At 47.2% G+C, this 13,292-nt stretch overlaps 1 protein-coding gene and 1 pseudogene across 1 annotated transcript in view, besides 1 other annotated feature; one reads left to right on the forward strand and one right to left on the reverse strand.

The window, feature by feature from the left end:
• BRI3BP (BRI3 binding protein) overlaps positions 1-4,618 on the forward strand; it is a 57,523-nt gene extending 52,905 nt beyond the window's left edge. The window contains exon 3 of the mRNA XM_011537940.3: positions 4,413-4,618. Coding sequence (XP_011536242.1) covers positions 4,413-4,582 — 170 coding nt within the window. The 3' untranslated portion in view covers positions 4,583-4,618. The remainder of the gene's footprint in view (positions 1-4,412) is intronic.
• Positions 3,092-3,191: a silencer, noted in NCBI's record as "silent region_5079". NCBI's record gives its function as "represses an Ori minimal core promoter by ATAC-STARR-seq in GM12878 lymphoblastoid cells {active_cell/tissue: GM12878}" and the evidence as "EXISTENCE:reporter gene assay evidence [ECO:0000049][PMID:35858748]".
• Positions 9,811-10,032, reverse strand: TOMM6P1 (TOMM6 pseudogene 1; annotated as a pseudogene).

The raw sequence follows: 13,292 nt of genomic DNA on the forward strand, positions 1-13,292 counted from the left end.
GTGAGACTCCGTCTTGGAAAAAAAAAATGTTTAAAAGAACAGAACTGGAGAAAATAATAGAAAAGGAAATGGATCTGTATGCAGCCCTACCAGAGCTGGAAGCTGTGAGCTCAGGCTAAATTATCTTTTCATTTCTAGAGTTATATGCTTATAGTATCCTTTTCCTCCATCAGTCGACTTTAGCATTATCAGTCATACGTGCGTGTTTTTACATTTATTTTAATTCGGCTATGGATCTCACATTCACAAAGGTCTCACATAAACTTTAGAACTTATCTCTAAAAATGATTATTCCCACAGTCACAGATTCATTTTTGTTTGTTTGTTTGTTTTTGGATCAAGACTTTCCTGGAAATCACTGATAGTTTTGAAAGCACACAGTATTCACCATGCAACTTTAAACTTTAAACACAGCCTCTGTTGTAAGCCTGCAATGATTAAAATCTTTAATAAATCCTGAAATTTTTCTCTGAATAGCAAAAAAGACTGCATTGTGTATATGTTCTAACATTGTACATATTTAATTAGAATTAAAAACATTACTAAATGTAAACATTTAAAACAGGGATTTATAGCGTAACGCAATTTCAGCATTTCTTTACTCTTTTTTTTTTTGAGACGGAGTCTTGCTGTCACCCAGCCTGGACTGACTGCAGTGGCGCGATCTCGGCTCACTGCAAGCTCCGCCTCCCAGGTTCACGCCATTCTCCTGCCTCAGCCTCCCAAGTAGCTGGGACTACAGGAGCCCGCCACCACGCCCGGCTAATTTTTTGTATTTTTAGTACAAAAATACTAACTGTATTTTTAGTAATATGGGGTTTCACCATATTAGCCAGGATGGTCTCGATCTCCTGACTTTGTGATCCACCCGCCTCCGCCTCCCAAAGTGCTGGGATTACAGGCGTGAGCCACCGCACCCGGCCTTTTTTTTTCTTTTTTTTCAAGACAGGGTCTTGCTGTCACCCAGGCTGGAGTGCAGTGGTGCAGTGGTGCAGTCAGTATTTTTAGTAGAGACGGGGTTTTGCCATGTTGGCCAGGCTGGTCTGGAACTCCTGACCACAGGTGATCCGCCTGCCTCGGCCTCTTTAAGTGCTGGGATTACAGGCATAAGCCACCATGCCCAGCCCGTTTTATACAGCTTTGATTTTTATTTATTTATTTTTTTGAGACTGAGTCTCGCTTTGCTGCCCAGGCTGCGGTGCAGTGGCGCAATCTGGGCTCACTGCAACCTCCGCTTTCCAGGTTCAAGTGATTCTCCTGCCTCAGCCTCCCGAGTAGCTGGGATTACAGGCGCATGCCACCACATCTGGCTAATTTTTGTATTTTTAGTAGAGATGGGGTTTCACCATGTTGGCCAGGCTGGTCTTGAACCCCTGACCTCAGGTGAACTGCACACCTCGGCCTCCCAAAGTGCTGGGATTACAAGCGTGAGCTACTGTGCCCGGCCTACTTTTTTTCTTATAGTTAAAAAAAAAAAAAAAAAAAAGATTTTAAGTGGTCTGGCCCTCTCTTTAAACTTCTGAGTTTGGGTGGATAGTTGAGTTGGGTTGGGTGGTTAGAGAAGAAATGCTCTGGACAGATTGAAAGACTAAATTCCTACAAGGAAAAGTGGTCATTTTTCTGTGGTTTTATCCCAGGGGAGTTGGGGCACACTGTAGTAAAGGGATGTATACTCTCCAAGATGCAATGCCGCCTCGAAATGCCTGCCTGGCTCATGGGTGTCATGAGATCTGACTAGTCACCATGTGTGTTCCTAAGGTTCCTCAGCTCATCAGATCTCACCCCAAGGTGGCCCAACCTAAGTAAAAGGCAAATCACAACGGACATATCCAGGCCCTGCCCTAAAGAGGCAAGCTGATAGTTACTCATATCCATTTTATGTTTAGGAGGGGTAATAAGAAATTCGGTTTGCAAACACCGCATGTTCTCACTCAGATGGGAATTGAACAATGAGAACACATGGACACAGGAAGGGGAACATCACACTCTGGGGACTGTTGTGGGGTGGGGGCAGGGGGGAGGGATAGCATTAGGAGATATACCTAATGCTAAATGATGAGTTAATGGGTGCAGCACACCAGCATGGCACATGTACACATATGTAACTAACCTGCACATTGTGCACATGTACCCTAAAACTTAAAGTATAATAATAATAATAGTAAAAAATAATAATTAAAAAAAAAAGAAATTCGGTTTGGACCCATTGGAATAGGGAGAGGGAGGAAGACATGGCATTTAGTCCTTGCCCTACAAAAATATCTCCGTTCTAGGAGCCTGCGTTTGTGGGGATTCAGCCTGGGGTTCCCTGCCTCTGCTCACCCCATAGCCAAGTAGAGGTGATGGTGGGGAAATGCCCCTGCCACCGGCCACAAGGTATATGCAAGAGAGCCCAAATTTATTTTTATTTACTTATTTATTTTTCGAGATGGAGTTTCGGCTTTTGTTGCCTAGGCTGGAGTGCAATGGCGCGATCTCGGCTCACTGCAACATCCACCTCCCGGGTTCAAGCGATTCTCCTCCTGCCTCAGCCTCCCGAGTGGCTGGGATTACAGGTGCCCGCCACCACGCCTGGCTAATTTTTTGTATTTTCAGTAAAGACGGGATTTCACCGTGTTCGCCAGGCTGGTCTCGAACTCCTGACCTCAGGTGGGCCACCGCGCCGGGCCAAGAGAGCCCAGATTTAACTCAGACCATCCTATCTATCAAAAGCAGCACCAGCCACTATTCTGTGGTCCTTTTATTATCTCAGGGCACTAATCACTTACTCAGCTTGCGAACGTGTTCCACTTTCTCCCACTGGGCTTAGCTTGGTTCCCTCCTATTCCCCAGCGCACTCATCCTAGGGGCTCATCTGCGTATTTGAATACGCATACGGAAGAATAAACATCCCCCAGGTACTTCAGGCACAACCCTCCTTTGGCAGCGCAGAAGTCAAGCTAGAGGTCGTGACCCCCTGGAGTCTCGGTGGTTTCGGGTTGGGGAGCAGAGCGGGTGGGGCAGGACCGACTCGCCGGTGCCAGTCAGGATATCAAGGTGACAGCGCCCGGCACTGGCCTTGGTCGAAGGGTGACTCCGCCCCATTGCTAAGCTCCGATTGGGCACGCCCTTTTCTGGTTCTTCTTCAGGATTGGCTGGGAGGTGCGGCCTATGAACCGGAACGCGTCGCGATTGGTTGGCGCTCAGGCCGATCTTCCAGACGCGGAGGCCTGGGCCGATGTGGCCCAACTCTCTGCCAGCCAATCAGCGCTCGGGCTGAGTGTGGCGCGTGAGTGTGTCCGGGATCCCTCCGCCGCCCGGGCGTTGGGGTCGCGGGAAGGGAGGGGACTGGGAGGGGATGGGGTGGGGACGCGCAGGAGGCCCGTGGGGTTGACTTGGGCGAGGCGGAGAGGACGCGTGTGCTGGCAGATGGAGGAGAACCGAGCGGAGCCGAGCAGCTTTGCCAGGAGTCTTCCACTACTGCTAAGGACCCCTCCTGCAAATTCAGACTCTTGCGTGACACACTAAAGAATAAATTAATAGGCTGGGCGCGGTGGCTCACGCCTGTAATCCCAGCACTTTGGGAGGCTGAGCCGGGCGGATCACGAGGTCACGAGATCGAGACCATCCTGGCCAACATGGCGAAACCCCGTCTCTACTAAAATACAAAAATTAGCTGGGCATGGTGGCGGGCGCCTGTAGTCCCAGCTACTCCAGAGGCTGAGGCAGGAAAATCGCTTAAACCCGGGAGGCAGAGGTTGCAGTGAGCCGAGATCACGCCACTGCCCTCCAGGTTGGGCAACAGAGCGAGACTCCGTCTCAAAAAAAAAAAAAGAATAAATTAATAATCAATAAATTTAAAAATTAAAAAGGAACGCCACCAAAAGAATCATGAAAACAAATAAAGGCTAATAAAAATAAAAGAAAGGCTTAAAGTGCCCAAAATGTCCAAAAGAAATGCACAATATCGACTTACAGTATAGACAGAAGAGACCTGCAAATTCTGCAGCCTTAATACCTTCAGTCTTTTTGGAAATGTTTCAGGAGCTGCTGCTCTGTGCCCTGCCTCGTGCTAGGCGTCGGGGAACCCCCAAGGGAACCACGGGGACCAGAGCCCGGCGGTCATGGCGCTTGCTCTTGGAGGCACATAAAGGGCTTCATTTCAGATGATGAAAGTGCAATGGGGTGATGGAGTGGAGAATGTGGGTGCTCTGAATTTTAACCACGTGCTATGACATGGGGTGGGGTAAGGCTCCTAATCTAGGAGCAGCCTTCTCGAGGTCTTTAACCATCTGCATAAGAGATAGTATAAAAAAGGTAAGGGACATTTGTGTGTGCGCGCAAGTAAGATTTCTTTGCATCTTATTACAACATCTATCCCCTCCCTTCACCGTATGTGCCAGCTAATACACTAGGGACTTTGTATTTTTCAGGATCCTTTTCTCCAGAAGCCTGGCTACTGAAGAGAGAACTTCACACTTACATAAGAGGAAAAAGAAGCCAGAGGATGGAGTGTCACCTCATCTGGTCATCTTTTCTTGCCCTGTTAGAATCAAGACAGCAGAGCATAGCAAGCTTCAGATGGCTTGTCTGGCTGGTCTGAGTCTCTTTAGGATTAAATGAGGCCTCTGTTGATGGAGATCCTTTGTTTCACTATTAGCATTAGGCTAATAAGTTTCAGTATTTTCTAAACCCCGTTTTAGGGTATGTCTCCTGGTTGTTGGTGATGTTGAATTACAGGGTGTCCTACAGAGAGTAGCAGAAATGTAGCTGTGTCTTCCAAGTATTTGCTATGAGTCCTCAGTGGCAGATGTCTGTGAGCTGTAGCATAAGATGCATTCATGTAACAAATATCTATTGCGTGCCTGCCGCATGTGAATACAAGGCGAAAGGTCCCTGCTTTCATGAAATTTCATTGTATTTCATTGTATTAATTTCATTGAAAGTAATAATCAATTTCAAATAAGGATGATTTGGCCTTGCACTTGAAAGAAGCAAAACAAGATCATGTTTACAGTGCCTGGGGGTGGAGAGGGGAGGAACATTCTATAGTTGTTGACTGGCTGAGTTGGGGTCAGGTGATCCCAGCAGAAGTGGGCTGATTCATCAAAGATCAATTCATTGAAAGTCATTTTGCCAAATAATCAATTCAGTGATTTAGCAGAATTTTCCAGATTTACCAACTTACCAAAAATGGCATTTTATGGCTTAATCTTCTTGATTTAGATTCAATGAATAAGAATACAGTCATCTGAATTTTTTCGGACATATAAGAAAATACACTTTTTTTTTTTGAGATGGAGTCTCACTGTCACCCAGGCTGGAATGCAGTGATTTGATCTCAGCTCTCTGCAAACTCCGCCTCCTAGGTACAAGTGGTTCTTCTGCCTCAGCCTCCCGAGTAGCTGGGAATACATGTGTGCACCACCACGCCTGGCTAATTTTTGTATTTTTAGTAGAGACGGAGTTTTGCCATGTTGACCAGGCTGGTCTTGAATTCCTGACCTCCCACCTTGGCGTCCCAAAGTGCTGGGATTACAGATGTGAGCCACCGTGCCCGGCCCCTTCCAGTTCTTTTTCTACACATATACATTAATGTATAGAAAAAAATATATATATGTCAGGCTGGTGGTGGTGTCTCACGCCTGTAATCCCAGCACTTTGGGAGGCCGAGGCGGGCGAATCACGAGGTCAGGAGATTGAGACCATCCTGGCTAACACAGTGAAACCATGTCTCCACTAAAAATACAAAAACTAGCCGGGCGTGGTGGCAGGCACCTGTAGTTCCAGCTACCCGGGAGGCTGAGGCAGGAGAATGGCATGAACCCAGGAGGCAGAAGTTGCAGTGAGCCGAGATCGTGCCACTGCACTCCAGCCTGGGCGACAGAGTGAGACTGCGTCTCTTAAAAAAAAAATATATATATATATACATATATGTATATATATGTATATATATATTTATTTTTATATATGTCAACAGAGAAAATTTTAAACGCAAATGTTTTCTTGTATGTATTTTTCTACAACTGTACGTGTCATTCTACAATTTATTCTATCTTCTTCAACAGTCTCTTTGAGGCTGGGCGTGGTGGCTCATACCTGTAATCCCAGCACTTTGGGAGGTTGAGACAGGAGGATCACTTGAGCCCAGGAGTTTGAGACCATTCTGGATAACATAGGGAGACCCTGTCTCTATTTATGTATTTATTTATTTTTTGAGACAGGGTCTTGCTGTGTCACCCAGGCTGGAGTGCAGTGGCATAATCATAACTCGCTACAGCCTCCACCTCCTGGGCTCAAGTGATCCTCCCTCCTCAGCCTCCTGAGTAGCTAGGACCACAGGCACATGTTACTACGCCTGGCTAATTTTTTATTTTTTATTGAGACAAGGTCCCACTATGTTGCCCAGGCTGGTCTTGAACTCCTGGGCTCAAGCAATCCTCCTGCGTCAGCCTCCCAAAGTGCTGGTATTACAGGGGTGAACCACTGCACCCAGCCCCCATCTCTATTAAAAAAAAATCTCTTTGAGAACTGTGATGTTTGTAGGTGAATGTGATTGTTTTTAGTGGATGTGCATAGCATTGTACAGTATGGATTATACTATACTTTGCCGTTCCCATGTTGAAGGACTTTAGTTTGTTTCTAGTTTTTCACCCTAGGCTTAGTGAAGTAAGACTCACCCAGAGTCTTGGGGCCCTGCTTTTATTAATTGTTTTATTTTTTTTTATATTTTTATTTTTTCCAAGGCAGAAGAATTTTTCTTAGTACAGAACAAAATGAAGTCTCCCATGTCTACTTCTTTCTACACAGACACAGCAACAATCTGATTTCTCTATCTTTTCCCCACCTTTCCCCCTTTTCTATTCCACAAAACCGCCATCGTCATCATGGCCCGTTCTCAATGAGCTGTTGGGTACACCTCCCAGACGGGGTGGTGGCCGGGCAGAGGGGCTCCTCACTTCCCAGAAGGGGCGGCCGGGCAGAGGCGCCCCCCGCCTCCCGGACGGGGCGGCGGCCGGGCGGAGGCGCCCCCAACCTGCCTCCCGGACAGGGCAGCTGGCCGGGCGGGGGCTGACCCCCCACCTCCCTCCCGGACCGAGATGGCAGCAATACAGTCCAGCTTCGGCTCGGCATCAGTAGAGATGAGGTTGTGCCATGTTGCCCAGGCTGGTCTTGAACTCCTGGGCTCAAGTGATCTGCCCGCCTCTGCCTCCCAAAGCACTGGGATTACAGGCATGAGCCACTGCGCCCAGCCGGTCCCATCGTTTTCTTATCTTTATTCCTGATGAGGATTTGAAGTTGCGTGGTCATATTTTCTCCTCTGCTTTCCCCTGGGGGCTGGAGAGGAGGTGGGGAAGCTCAACCTTGAGACATCAACTCCGGCACATCTCGTACTTAGTAACTGGCACCGACTCAATATCCACAGCCCCCTGGGCATGCGGGGAGTGTTGATGCAACCACACCATGGAGGCCAGAAAAAGAAATCCTCAAGCAACACTTTGGCCTGATGGACTCAGGGGACCTGCCTGAGTCTGCAGTTGGAATCACCCCTTTCCCTTTCTTCTGGCCTGACCTCGGGGAGCCACTGTGTCGGCAGCTGCTGTCTGTGCAGATGCTGCAGCTTCCTGTCCCTCTGCTCCTCCAGCCTTTCCTTCCGTCTCTGCACTGTTGCTTTGGTTATGACTTGGGTAAAATCAGAGGCTCGAACTTGTTCTCATCTAGTCCGGCTCCAAGTACTCATCGAATCCAGCAGCATATCCTGATGGTTCTCCCTTCCAAAATAGTTCTATGTATATAGAAGTATTCACAGATTTATATTTATATAAAAATAAATGTATATATTTACACTATGGGATGTAGAGCTATCTGAATATAACATGTATGTACAATTTATGAAATAATAAATGCACACCAAGTAGTCACCACCCAGCTTAATAGGGGATGACCAGTATCGTGGAAATCCCTCCCTAAATTCAGCCTCTTTATTTGTCCTATGAGAAACCAGTGCTATATCTATAGCTCTATATACCACTATGTAAGTATATACATTTATTTATTTATTTTTTGAGATAGTTTCACTCTTGTTGCCCAATGTGGAGTGCAGTGGCATGATCTCGGCTCACTGGATTACAGGCATGTGCCACTGCACCCGGCCATAATTTTTTTTTTTTTTTTGAGATGGAGTCTTGCTCTTATTGCTCAGGCTGGAGTGCAATGGCACGATCTCAGCTCACTGCAACCTCCGCCTCCCAGGTTCAAGTGATTCTCTTGCCTCAGCTTCCCAAGTAGCTGGGATTACAGGCACCCGCCACCACGCCTGGCTAATTTTTGTATTTTTAGTAGAGACGGGGTTTTGCCATGTTGGCCAGGCTGGTCTCGAGCTCCTGACCTCGTGATCCGCCCGCCTCGGCCTCCCAACATGCTGGGATTACAGACATGAGCCACAGTGCCTGGCCCATAAATTTATTTTATTTTTTTATTTTATTATTATTATTTTTGAGATGGAGTCTCACTCTGTCACTGAGGCTGGAGTGCTGTGGCGTGATCTTGGCTCACTGCAACCTCTGCCCTCCGAGTTCAAGCGATTCTCCTGCCTCAGCCTACCGAGTAGCTGGGATTATAGGTGCCTGCCACCGCGCCCGGCTAATTTTTTGTATTTTTAGTAGAGACGGGGTTTCACCATCTTGGCCAGGCTGGTCTTGAACTCCTGACCTCGTGATCCACCCACCTCGGCCTCCCAAAGTGCTGGGATTACAGGAGTGAGCCACCGCGCCCAGCTAAATTTATTTTTTATACTGTTCCATCCACCCCTCAAACCCAACCACACTCTATGACCACACAACAGACGAATAATCCTTTCAGAATGTATATCATGTCACTTCCCCACTCAAAAGCTGCCAGGTGGCTTCTCATCACAGTTTGAATAAAACCCAAAGTACTTACCCCACGGCCTCCCAAGGCCTCATATAGCCACTGCGTTAAGACAGTGCCAAGCAGGCCTCAGGGACTTTGCATGTGCTATGCCCTCTGCAAGGCTTTTCCCGAAGATCAGCACTGGGCTGGATGTGTCACTTCATTTAGGTGTCAGCTCATGTTACTTCATTAGGGATATCCTTCCTTGATCACTTTTTTTTCCTTTTTTTTTTTTGGTGAGACTGAATTTTGCTCTTGTTGAGCAGACTGGAGTGCAGTGGTGCAATCTTGGCTCGCCGCACCCTCCGCCTCCCGGGTTCAAGCGATTCTCCTGCCTCAGCCTCCTGAATAGCTGGGATTACAGGCGCCTGACGCCATGCCCAGCTAATTTTCATATTTTTAGTAGAGACGGTGTTTCACTGTGTTGGCCAGGCTGACCTTTTTTTCCCCCATGTTTGGGGCTTGTCTTTGTCTCTCAAATGCGAAATATAAATCATGTTTTTACAAGTTTTGTGAATCTTGACTTTTCACACCTTGTTTTTGTAAGCAAAAGTTTCTTATTAAAATAATAAAATGACTGTCTTTGTGTGCAATATTTATCTCAAATGTTTGTTAAAATAGCATTGTTATTTCTCAGGACAACAGCGAGGATCAGCCCCTGCAGAAGCTTAGGAACTATGTACAGAACTTTACAGAACAGACGCAATACTGTAGCTTAAGCCTCTCTGCTGACCAGAGAATGGAATTCTCCGTGGACTCGAGGAACAAAAGGAAACTAGGCAGGGAAAGGGAAAAGGAAAGTGGCCATTTGAATCAAACTTCAGCTGCTATCAGGGCACATCTTGTGGTGGCCACAGATTGCAGGCTGTTCTTGGAAGATTCGGGCTCAGCACAGGATTCCATTTGTCTACCTGGCTACACTCCTGGCTGAGGTGCCATGAGGTCAATGTCACTGAAGTACCTGGCCAGCCAAACTCCCGCAGCAAAGAGTCCCAAATCGAGGATCAAGTTCCTCCAGAAGTCACTCCTATCAGTGGCAAAGCGGTAGACGCCCTGAGGCTAATCTCCCACATTGTCCAGTATTTCGGGAGTTTCATTAGCCAAGCAGGCAGCGCTCATCCAGATCCCGCTGGAAGCCATAGTAGGAAGCTTCGCACAGGCCCTTTTTTTTTTTTTTTTTTTGAGACGGAGTTGCGCTCTTGTTGCCCAGGCTGGAGTGCAACGACATGATCTTGTCTCACTGCAACCTTCGCCTCCGGGGTTCAAGCGATTCTCCTGTCTCTGCCTCCCAAATAGCTGGGACTACAGAGACGAGCCACCATGCCTGGCTAATTTTTGTATTTTTAGTAGAGACGGGGTTTCATCATATTGGTCAGGCCGGTCTCGAACTCCTGACCTCAAGTGATCTGCCCGTCTCAAAAAAAAAAAAAAAAGTGGCTTCTTTCTGATGTGGTGTGCATTCCTCAATACAGTACATCAAAATTTTATTTTATTCAATCACAACACGGCATATTTATTCCAATTACAGCCAATCCACCTCTTACTTTGATATAAAGTGCTCGTTTTTTATGACCATTTAAGCCTGTGATGAAAATGTCTAGAATTCAACTGAAGTCAGGATACAGACCCTGAGGTTGCGCACAGTCCTGTCAGGAGAGACTCCAAAGTGGGGATTCTTTGGCAAGGAAGACAGGGGTTTCTCACTGAGCAGGCAGCCATCAGTGTCCGCCATGTTGATTTTCTTTACCGACTCTCTCCCTAAGACAGAAATTTTGTATTTTTCCAGCTTCTTCTTAGCACTTTGGCTTTTGTTTTTATGTGTGCAAAGAGATATCAAGCTTTGCGAAGAGAGGAGAAAAGTGAGATTACAATTTCCCAGAGCATATGGACTATCCTCGGGTACTTCTGGTTTCTGTCTCAACTATGGGTGCCATTCCTCTTCCAGACCATCCGTTTGGTACTTTTTGGGAAATATCTTTGCTGTTTCCAAATACTCATGTGTTTTATATGAAACCCCTTTCAACATATTCCAGTATGCGGAGCTTGCAGTGAGCCGAGATTGCGCCACTGTACTCCAGCCTGGGAGACAAAGCCAGACTCTTGTCTCAAAAAAAAAAAAAAAGGGACGTGGGAGAGGAAGCAAGATGAGTCTTGAAAAGACACCTCCGAAGGCCCGTGAGTGTCTGGAAGTATGTCACAGGGGGTGAGGGCTAAGTCTCCAGTCATTCTGGCTGTGGCTCACCTCTGCCTTGGGCTACCTCACAGGTGCTGTGTCTGGTTGGGTGGGCCAAGCTGGAGGAATTAGGAGTGAACCAAGTGGCCGTCAGATATATAAATCCAGGCTTTTCCCTGCCCCATGAAAACTGGTCAACCCACTGGTCAAAGTGGATTTCCACATGCATGAGGGCTGGGTCTGTGCTTTACACAGCTGGGTCCCCATTGCCCAACTCACAACGGGCAACCTCTAGGCACGTGCTGAGGGAATGAATGTTTCTTGAACTCCTACTGTGGGTCAGGCATTGGGGACTGCGTGGTGCACTAGTGAGACAAGGATCCTGCCCCTGTGGAATTTGCATTCTGGTGTTAAAGGAATGAACACAAATACGTAGATCTCTCAAAGATGAATCTCCCTCTGGGTGGAAATGGACTCATGCCTGGCAAATGCAGTAACAGGGAGACAAAGAGCCAGAGGTGGCCCCAGAATTTGGAGGCCAGGGAGGGGGCAACCTAGAAGTCATGTTTATATAGCAAGCACCCTGTTTTAGGTTTGAATCTCCGTTTATATGTGGTGATTGGGAGATGGAAGCTGTTTAAAATTAGGTGGTGGAAGTGGGAGTTTACTTCATAAAATTCCAATACTGGTCAGGCATGGTGGCGCGATCCTGTAATCCCAGCCACTCGAAAGGCTGAGGCAGTAAGATCACTTCAGCCCAGGAGTTCGAGGTTGCAGTGAGCTATGATTGCGCCACTGCACTCCAGCCTGGGCAATACAGCGAAACCTCGTCTGTCTCTAAAAAATAAAAATAAAAACAAATTAAGCTCCAACACTGCAAAAAACTATTTTGGGGGAAGTTGATTGGGTGGCTAAGATAATAAATGAAGACAAACAACTTGGGATGGTCTTTAACACGGAGCCCACAGTAGGGGTATGATAAATAAACCTCCAAAATATACCTGAAGTCCATTTCTTCTCTCCAACTCCACCCTGGTCCAGCCACCATCATCTTTTGCATAATTTCTCCTGCCTTTGCCCCTGAAGACTATTCTCAACTCAGCATCAGGGAGATTCCTATCACAGCCACAGTCACAGCGGGTCCCTCTCCGCTCAAAACCTTCCAGTGGTCTCGCCTTAACCCAGGATAAAGGCCAAAGTCTCCACTGGGCTCCAGGACCTACCTGAGCCACCACCCCTTCCTCTGCGGATTTTATCTTCTACCCCAGGTCTCTCACATGAAAAATCTTGTCCTCCTTACAAAGTTCCCTAAGCACCCCCGGCACTCGCCTGCCTCAAGGTCTGAGCCCTGGCTGTTCCCCCTGCCTGGAGACTGAATTGCTCACTTCTGTTGCCTTCTTCGGGTCACTGGTAGAAGTTGCCTTTTCAAGGGGGCCTTCCCTGCCACCCTATTTAAAGAGAAACACCCCTCCCCCCACATTCTGTACTCTCCCTTGCTTTCTCTCCACAGCACTTAATACCTTTTTTTTTTTTTTTTTTTTTGAGACAGAGTCTCGCTCTGTTGCCCAGGCTGGAGTGCAGTGGCACGATCTTGGCTCACTACAACCTCTGCCTCCTGGGTTCAAGCAATTCTCCTGCCTTAGCCTCCCAAGTAGCTGGGATTACGGGCATGTGCCACCACATCCAGCTAATTTTTTTTGTATTTTTAATAGAGATGAGGTTTCACCATGTTGGCCAGGCTGGTTTTGAACTCCTGACCTCAAGTGATCTGCCTGCCTTGGCCTTCCAAAGGGCTAGGATTACAAGTGTGAGTCACTGCGCCCAGCATAATACCTTTTATTATACAAATATTATATACAATATGTATTTCTCTGTAATGTGTGAACCCAGAGAATGTTAGGTCTCAATTCATTTAGAAAGTTAATTTTGCGAAGGTTAAGTACGTGTGCCCACGACACAGACTCAGGAGGTCCTGACATGTGCCCAAGGTGGTCAGAGCAGAGTTTGGTTTTACACCTTCTAGAGAGACATGAGACATCAGTCAGCATATGCAAGATGAACACTGGTTCTGTCTGGAAAGGCGGGACAACTCGAAGCAAAGGTGGGAAGACTTGAAGTGGGGAGGGGGCCTGCCAGGTCACAGGTAGATAAGTGACAAATGCTTGCATTCTTTTCAGTTTCTGATGAGCCTCTCCAAAGAAGACAATCAGATATGCATTTATCTCAG

Source organism: Homo sapiens, chromosome 12 (genome assembly GCF_000001405.40).
Source record: "Homo sapiens chromosome 12, GRCh38.p14 Primary Assembly".
NCBI classification, from domain to species: Eukaryota; Metazoa; Chordata; class Mammalia; order Primates; family Hominidae; genus Homo; species Homo sapiens.